The sequence below is a fragment of the Homo sapiens genome, chromosome 6 (assembly GCF_000001405.40).
Source record: "Homo sapiens chromosome 6, GRCh38.p14 Primary Assembly".
In the NCBI taxonomy this organism is placed as follows: Eukaryota; Metazoa; Chordata; class Mammalia; order Primates; family Hominidae; genus Homo; species Homo sapiens.
The window spans coordinates 134634389-134643965 of NC_000006.12; positions in this window are offsets into that span (position 1 = coordinate 134634389).

The following is a 9577-nucleotide window of genomic DNA, read 5'->3' on the forward strand; positions in this document are numbered from 1 at the left end:
ACTTTCCCCGCATTTGGTTGTCTTGGGAGTTATAGTCTCAGCTGGTGTCTGAGTCTGTGCCTCTGCTGTCAGCTAACACATAGTCAGTCCCCAGGGTTAGACTTCTGGGAATTAATGGAGCTCAGGACTCTGGAACTATCTGGGTCACCTATTGTCATTTGGAAAAAAGAAAAGTACAGCATATGTTAGAATATCACTTCCTTCTGCCCAGAGTGAGATGAAGAGTGTGAAATTTAGGAGTCGATTTTCATCATTCAATGAATATTTACACAGTCCCTGCTACATGCATCAGTCATCCTTCTATTACACATGCTGGAGATGCCCTGGGGAACTAAATGCTCTACACTTTTGGAGCCCATGTTTTGATAGATTAACAATTTTGAAAAATTAAAAAAAAACAAAAAGCAGCCTCAAATCGTTTTCGATGATGTTGTTGTTGCATTACAATGGGGTAGAAATCATGTACTATAAATATACCTGTATTAGACACTATCACAAAAGATCTAAGATTCTTTGGTAACCTCAGACTATTCCATTTTCTAGTGAAGATATTATATTATCTGTATATCATACCTTACCTAAAAGACAACAGTGTCCAGAAAAGATATACTCTAACCTTAATTATGGAATAAAAAGGACACCTTAGTACAGGTATTTTAATTCATAGAAAACAAATTTCCTGGTGGTTTGGAGGCATTCGCCCAAGGAGTAGATTACCTCATTTTGGACATGGCCTGTCCTAGTTATAAAAAAGCAGAAGTTGATATGCAAGAGGCCAGGCAATGTGTTGATTAAATAAGAAGCTATTTAGAAGACAGTGGGAAGCTGAGTATTCACTGACGTGGGAATGGTTGAGTAAATTATGATATATCCATTATAGGACTATTATGCAGCAATTAGAATAAATAAGCTGCATATTTACTGACTTGGAAAGTTGTCCGTGATATCAACATAAGTGAAAAAACAAGGTTGCAGAGTAATGTATGTAGAATAATGCTGGTTTTGCTTTAAAAATAATACAGGTGAATACTGTGTATGTGTCCATAGCTTGAATATACTTGTATGAACATGGAAATAGATGTGGAAGACTATCTACCTAACAGCATTAATTATTTTAAATATATAAAATGGGGCAGAGGTGGGAGATGATTATTTTATATTCAGTGCCTTTTTACGATGAGCAGTATTGGCTCAGCAATTTTTTTAAAGTAGGAAAAATAAAGAAAAAAGTTGTAGGGTAGGCCAGGGCTGAAAGTATATCCTTGTAACCACCTTATTGTTATATTAATCAGCATTTATTCATGGAGCACTTATTGTTTGCAAAGATGAGAACACAAGTATTGGACTTAACAGTCTACCAGAGGGCCAATAATTTGACTGGGGAGATAAAACCTCTTCACAGGAAAATAAAAGTATTTTCATGATGAGAACAGAGCTGGCTAATTTATATTCATTTTTTGAAATGAATGTAGTGGAAGTGGTGTAACGAGTACAACTCAGACCTGGCAATCTTTTCACTCTGCTACATACTTGTATAAACTTAAGACAAGGCTTTTAACATCTGCACCACCATCTCTCAGGCCCTCTACCTCTGAAGTTGAGAAAGGAAACATCTGGATATGATGCAATTAGCAATACATTAATGGGCATGAAAGGATTCCCTCCCTTCCCCACTCCAGCCCCTGTGTCCCACCCCTATCCCCCAACCCCTTCCCAGAGCTTGGAATTCATTGGGGCTATTTCTCCAAAACATTCTTTGAAGTTAAGCCTTTAGCTCCACAGTCATTAGGGAGACCTCTGAGAACCAAGTCAGCCCCAACAGCCAGTTCAGAATCTTGGCTAAACATGAGTCCTTTTACTCAATGGTCAAAATGCAAAACCAGGCAACTTTTGCTCATGGTGCTAAGTTGCAAACTATCTGTCTCTAGTCTTTAGCGAATGCTATTGGGAAGCATCAGGACAAAAGTCGTCATCCAAAAATTCCAATTCTAGTTTTCTCTTGGTCTGGGCTTAAAGCCAGAGGCGATTCTCCATAGGTGGCATGCCAGTGCCATCTGACTGCTGACATATTCTGTGTGGTGGTTGAGAAAACTGGAGAAGAAAGAGCCAGGGTAGTCAAAGGACTGCTCGTTAATTTTAAGATGTGCAGGATGAAGAGGAGAACAATGCAAGGGTAGGCACTCTGAACAATTTGTGTTATTGACAGCATCAGCAAAAAATAACCAGCTGGCTCTCAGCCAGGGAGTTCCCCATCCAGCTGCTGTGTGTGCATCACAGGTCTAAAGAGCGCCCACGGCCTATAACACTGATCAGTCTGAGTCTCAGTCCATCCTGCCATGGGTTGCAGACCAGACCGTGTTTCATGGGCCTCCTATTTTAGAAGAAAGGTTGAGGAGAAAGAAAGTTACATCCAGTCCTTCTGTGTCACCTGATATATTTAACAGCAAGGAAGGGAGGGAGGGAGGGAGGGAAGGGAAGGGAAGGAAGGATCCCAGTACTTTGGGAGTCCAAAGCACAAGTATTGCTTGAGGCCAGGAGTTTCAGACCAGCTGAGCCATATAATGAGACCCTGATTCTACAAAAAAAAAATTTTTTTTTTAATTAGCCAGGTATGGTGATACATGCCTCTAATACCAGCTACTTAGGAGGCTGAAGTAGGAGGATAGTTTGAGTTCAGGAGTTCAAAGTTACAGTGATCAAGCCACTGCACTCCAGCCTGGGAGACAGAGTAAGACTTTGTCTCTAAAAATCATAATACTAATAACAAAATGGAAAGAGCAAATTTTGATGCTTTACTGTTTTGTGGGCCTGTGTTGTCTACTTTCCCTTCATCCTCAGCTTTGTATTTCACAGTGTTGGTGATATATGGAAAAAAAACTAAGACACAGTCCTTTAGGAATTGCCAAAACTCCTATCTAAATGTGAGTGAGCAATGAAAAATAAGATACATGAAATATGAGGGCTGAGAAAGTGTGTTTTAGGGATGGGAGTGAGAGCTCCTCGTACTGTGTGGGTAGACTAAAGCAAGCTGCCAATCAAGATCTCCTTAAGATTATTTAGCAGGGGGAAGGAGAGAAGAGGGGGCGATCACTTAGTGAGCTGAGCACAAGAGGAATACCTCGCAGCTTTAGAGAATGTTTAGAGGTAGAAGTGCGAGTGGGCAGCCCACATTTCTTCTGCTCCCACCACCGCCATCACACTGTCTCCTTGTCTGCTAAAATTTCATTATTTTTCCATCAAGCACTTACTCTCCAAATTAGGCAATCCTAAAATGCATTTAATTCCATATACCTAGGATCTGTTCAGTAGGCAAATGCCCTCACATAAAAATACTTTTGCAAGAATTGAAACTTCACTGTCTAATCAGGCCACTGATATTCTCTTAAACTAGTCTGTGCTTTCCATTTAAATTGTACCCAGGGAGGAAGTATCCTGTGGTGGAGAAAGCATTCACCTGAGAATCTAAAGACCTGCACTCTAGTTCCTCATTTGAGACTCAGAAATTCTGTGACCTTGAGCAAATTTTGGCCCTTAGTATCTTCACTGGGATAAAATAATGGAGAAAAGTTACCTTTCAAATCCCTTCTCACTCCAGAATGCTGTTTTGCCAAGCCTATTAGAGGAGAACTAATGTTTTAACAGTTCAGTTCTATTGAGTCAGCACATATTTATTGAGCATCTACTGTTGTGCCCTAGTGACTTAAAAGCATTGATAAAAGTGCATTCTTAGAAACATGCAATGCACTGGGCGAATCCTACTCATTTTATAAACATGCTGTGATGGTGATTTTACTTAATCCACAGACCCTGAAACCTCCCAAGCAGGTAGCTCAGTGTAGTGGCAGTTTTAAAATGACAAAGACCTCTTTCTTGAAAACTGACTCAGCTACAATCAGTGTGCTTGTGACAAGACACTTCACTTTTCTTGGTCATGATTTTCTTCTCTGTGAATTTGGGACAATGAGGCCCACCTTAAATGGCTATGGTGAAGAGCAAGAACCCTACCTTCAGTAGAACAGCTGAGCAGAATAACCTAGTAGGAATATATTAAGTTTTGAGCTCAGCAGACCAGGTTCAAGGGCTGGCTTTATGATTTCTTAGATATGTTACTGTTTGAAAGTCAGTTAATTTCTCCAAGCCTCAGCTTCTTGTGTGAGATGGGATAATAACATTTACCACACACAATTACTGTATGGGAAGAGTTCAGCATAGTTTGTAACACTTGGTAAGAATTCAGTTAATAAGAGCAATTACTGTGAATTACCTACAAATTCAGAATTGGCCTATCTAGACACAGTAAGCAGCTGGAGTTTACTTTTGTATTACAAAGGGAAGGAATCATGTCAGAAAAGAGTATAAATGGTCTCAGGGCAGTGGCTCACACCTGTAATCCCAGCACTTTGGAAGGCCAAGGCAGGTGGATCACTTGAGGTCAGAAGTTCGAGACCAGCCTGACCAACATGATGAAACCCCGTCTCTACTAAAAAAATAATAATAATACAAAAATTAGCTGAGTGTGGTGGCAGGCGCCTGTAGTCCCCGCTACTCGGGAGGCTGAGGCACGAGAATCACCTGAGTCTGGGAGGCAGACATTGCAGTGAGCCGAGATAGTGCCACTGCACTCCAGACTGGGTGACACAGTGAGACTCCATCTCAAAAAAAAAAAAAAAAAAGAAAAAGAAAAAGAAAAAAGTATAAATGGTAGTCTTAGAAAAAATTCTAATCTACCTAAAAGATAAGCTATTGTTACATAGATATAACCAACTCCATGTATTGAATTTACACAAAAATAATGATTGCGATGAAAACAAAGGTTAACATTGCTTTGATTTGCAAATTATTCTATTTGTGACAAAGACTTCTACCTAACCTATTATTTGTGAAGTTATTTCAGTATTTGAAATAGAGATTAAAAATATTGTATTTTCTTGGCACGATTGAAGTTTGGAGGGGTTGAAAGTGAATTTACTTTGAGGCATTAGGTTCTTTGGTATGGGCAACTATGATTCAATTTATTAGAAGGATATTGGTGACCACAACACACCAAATCAATGGAAGTCTGAAGGAGCAGTTCCAGAAGTAGAATAGGAACAAGGAAAGAGACTTTTGGCAGGAACAGTTTCTTCCCTCCTTGTATCTGGGTTGAAAGTCCAGTTGACCAGGCTTAGATCTTAGAAGGCCTTCCCTCCAGATCCTTTCAACAGAAAGAATCTGTCCAGAGGCTACTCTTTACTTTCATTGAGGAAGAACAGATTATCTGAATTTTCTGATCTACTAGAACTCTCCACAATGGGGGAAAAGCAAATCCTCCAAAGGAAATGGAAGATGTTGATAGGAAGTGGAGATGGATGTTGGGTGACCAATATTAACAAAGGTCCCTACGGACAGACTTGTTTCCATATTTGACTCTGCCACTTGCTATACAAATTACTCCACTTTCCCAAGTCTATTGTAAAATGAAGGTAATGGTAAACCCAACTCCACAGGATTGCTATGAAATATAAATATAGCAATGTTTATAAAGTGCCCAGCATAATAACTGTCACATAAGTATGTCTATTAAGTTTCAGTAAATCAAACTTTCCTTTCTTATTTCAGTGATGCCTGTGTTAGGCTTTTCTATATTAGCTCCATGTATATTTACTTATATATTTCTTACATTCATGTGTATTAGTATTTTATTATCAAAGTATGTACTTCCAGAGAAAAAAGATCATGCCTCACTTTAACCAGTGCCATTTGCTTTTGATGATGACAGTGACAATAACAATAATAACAGGGAGGCATTGTCCTAGTAATTAGTTTTAAGTACTTTTTGAGACTTTAAAAATAATCTACATAATATGGTATTTATACACATAGTCAATGGTTATAGTTATGTTTAGCATATAGGTATCCATTTTCTTTTTCATGGTCACGCTGAGGGACCCTGATGACACATAGACCATATTGCCCTTACAAGGCTCTTAATGACAGAATGGTTGGCATAGCCTTACTTTCCTAAATAGTTTGCTGATTCACTTGTTCCATTTTTAGACATCAGCAGATCGGCATTGGTGACATCTGCTAATTATTTGGTTTGACTCGTGACTGGCATGAGACTTCCATCTGCATCAATCAGTAAGACATGATTAGTGTGAGGTTAATACCACCCAATCCATGACCAATTTGTTGTAATGAGAAGCCTTGTTTATTTATCGGTTTTCCCCAGAGGTAATCATTTGTTGGAAACATAGCTGCCAAAAGTCACATTGTCTTCGTATTAATAGCTTATCAACTCTCAAATTGCATTGACCTACCCAATTACATATTTAAGACCTTCTGCACCTCTCTTACGGTTTCCACCTCTCATTTCTACCTGGAAACAGTCTTGGAAGACAGCTGAAGACTGTGCTTCTATGGTTCGTCCTTCCTTGTTTCCCTAGTACAATATTTTGAGACATCCCCTCAAATGGCCCTCTTCTTTCTAAACCATCATCATGTGACAGTCACAGCTTCATTAAGACATGTTAGTTACGCTTCCTGGTTTAATTCAGAGTGAATTAAATCATACTCAATAAACTCACCAAGAGTTTTGTTGGTTTCTTGTGTAATGCTTGGGTAAGATTAGAAAGGCAATGACCTCCAATCATGGTAGTAGCTAATTCCTTGTTTAATACTTTAGGTCAAAGTGAGTGCACATTTCACCATTTTGTGGTCTACCAGAGCAAACACAGAAGAATGCTTTCTGCCCCCTGGTGCTCATTGTCTGCTACTGCAGCAGATGAGTCAGCTGAGATATGTTCCAGACAGAAGCAGAAGGAATTGTGTCTCTACTGCTTATAGCACATGAGCAAAGCCACAACTTTTCAGTGCGTCACATGTCAGATACCTCCTAAATATGCAAGTGTCAGGGAAATGAATGAAGAGGATCTCTCAATTCTGTAACAGGAAGCACCACTGGGGAGAATGGCAGAGGCTCTGGGCTCTGGCTCTTGTTGCTTCATTAGCCTCTCATCTGGGAGCCCTCTGGGGTGCTGGCTGGTCCACCCTGGCCATGTCTGGGTCTCTTGATTATGCCAGGTTATTCCCTGACTCAACACACTGACATGTGCTTCTCTCTCTGCCTAAAAACTTCCTCACCCCCTTCATCTCCTAAATCGTATCTCTCCTTCAGAATGTAGCTGAAGGGCCACCTTCACAGGAAAGTCTCAATCAGGACTTCCTTAAATCTTCTCATACCACCTGATTCTTCTCCTTCAAGGCACCCATTACGATTGTAATTGAATAACTAAATTGTTTAATGAATGTACAATCTGCTAAAATGTAAGCCCCTCTAAGGTCTTATTTACATTTGCATTTCCCATAGGTGTACAACATAATTTTTAAATGAATGAATGAATTCTGAAGCGAAAACATAACATTCTTAAATTTGACAGCCCTTTTGTTTGCAGATAAACCAAAGCCAGGCTTATCCTGGAGTATAATTTCAAAGATAACCAGGGGAAGAAGAGAGGAGAAGATAGGGAAGGGGTGGGACTGAATTGGGTCAAGGTTCTCTTCATTCTGTCTCACCAAGGAATAGTTGTACGCTAATGTAATTAAATGCCAAAACTAGCTTGCAGAAACTTTTCTCTTTTCTCAAAGTTCTCTAAGTTTACAAAGAGTAAGCATGCTTTTCAAATCCTACTTATTTTTTATCCTTTGCCTATAGTATGGATCCACCCTCCAAGACTCTGAAAGTTTTTAATTGTAGTATCTGTGCATGGAACATAAGCTTAATTACTAAGGCAATGCCCATTGCTTTGTAGGGCCACGAACAATGCTTTTCATTACTGGGCATAAAGTACTCTGTTGTTATTTTCTCTATAGCCTTATATTGGAATAAGCAATAATTGTAGTTTATTCTTTACAGATGGAGGCAATAAGCACAGACAGATCTGGAACCCTTGCCTACTGTGACATACAGCCGCAGTAGCAGGCAAGCCTGGGTCAGCTCCAGAGCGGCAATGGAGGGAAATTCCCAGGACTCTGGGTGTCTTGGAAGTTTCCAAGGCCTGCAACTGATCACAGATCCTGGTTTTCCTCCCATTGGCTAAAAAGATAATAAATACAAGTTACAGCTTGACTACTGTCTGAAAAAATCTTGTAATGGTTAATGGAAGAAAGAAGAGAAAGTCCAGATGTTTGTTTTTTTTCCCTGCTTAGTGTGAGTTGAATGCTAACTTGAGACTAGGTCTAAAGTAGATCAGAAAATGCTTTCTCTTTATAAGTCAATTCATACCAGAAAAAATATAGGACACAGACAATGCCCAATAGTTACACTGGGACATGGAAATGGAGAGGAAGGGGAGTAACACTTGTGGGGTTGATATTATCATTTCATCATCTATCTGAAATATCGCACAAGGGAGGGAAAACTGAAACAGTAAAAGCCACATACAGATTCCACTGTTTTTAACATTACATTTGTTTCTCATTCATTTAACTTTCAATAAATATTTATTGAAAACTCGCAATATACTAAGCTTTGAAAACACAACAAAGAATAAAATGAAGCCCTTGGTCTTTTGGACTTTACTTTTCATGGGCAGGGTACAGATAGAGAACAAGGCGGAATAATGTTCAAGTAAATAAGCCAGGTAATTTCAAACACTAATAAGCGTTACAATCATGATAAAGCAGGGCGATGTGATTGAGAGTGGCTGGAGGTGAGGGTTTGTTTTAGATCTGTGCTGTCCAATACAGTTGCCACTAGCCATATGTGCCTCCTGAGTATTTGAAATGTGTCCAGTCCATGTTGAGATGTGCTGTAAGAGATGAACTGAATTTCAAAAACTTAGTATGAGAAAAAGAATAGAAAATTATCTCATTAACATTTTTATACTAATCGTTGAAAATATCTTAGATATACTGGATTAAATAAAAATATCATGAAGAAGGATTTAACCTCTTTTTATGTGCTTTCACTGTGGCTACTTGAGCATCTAAAATTGCACTCACACTTGTTCTTTACCTTTTTGTACTGAGCAGCACTATGGATGGATAGTGTCGTCAGGGTGGGCCACCCAGCCTCTTAAGAAGATGATAATACACTTAGGAGGAACTGGGCATGCAAAGGTCTCAGGGCAGAGTAGTGCAGGCAAGGAGAACAGCAATTGCGAAGAACCTGAGGTGGGAACCAGCTTGGTGAGTTGGAAAAGAAAGAAAGCCAGTATGCCTGGAGAGAAGGCCAGGAGACAAGGAGGTCAAAAATAAGGTAAACCCCCGAGACCAAGGCTTGCTCATGCAGGGCTTTGTAAATGAGAGTAAAAAGTTTAATACAAGGCTGGTCACAGTGGCTTGCACCTGTAATGCCAGCACTTTGGGAGGTTGAGGCAGGAGCATCACTTGAGGCCAGGAGTTCAAGACCAGCCTGGCCAACATGGCAAAACCCCGTCTCTGCTAAAAATACAAAAATTAGCCAGGTGTAGTGGCACACTGCATGCCTGTAATCCCAGCTACTCGGGAGACTGAGGCAGGAGAATCGCTTGAACCCGGGAGGTGGAAGTTGCAGTGAGTGGAGATTGCACCCCTGCCCTCCAGCCTGGGAGACAGA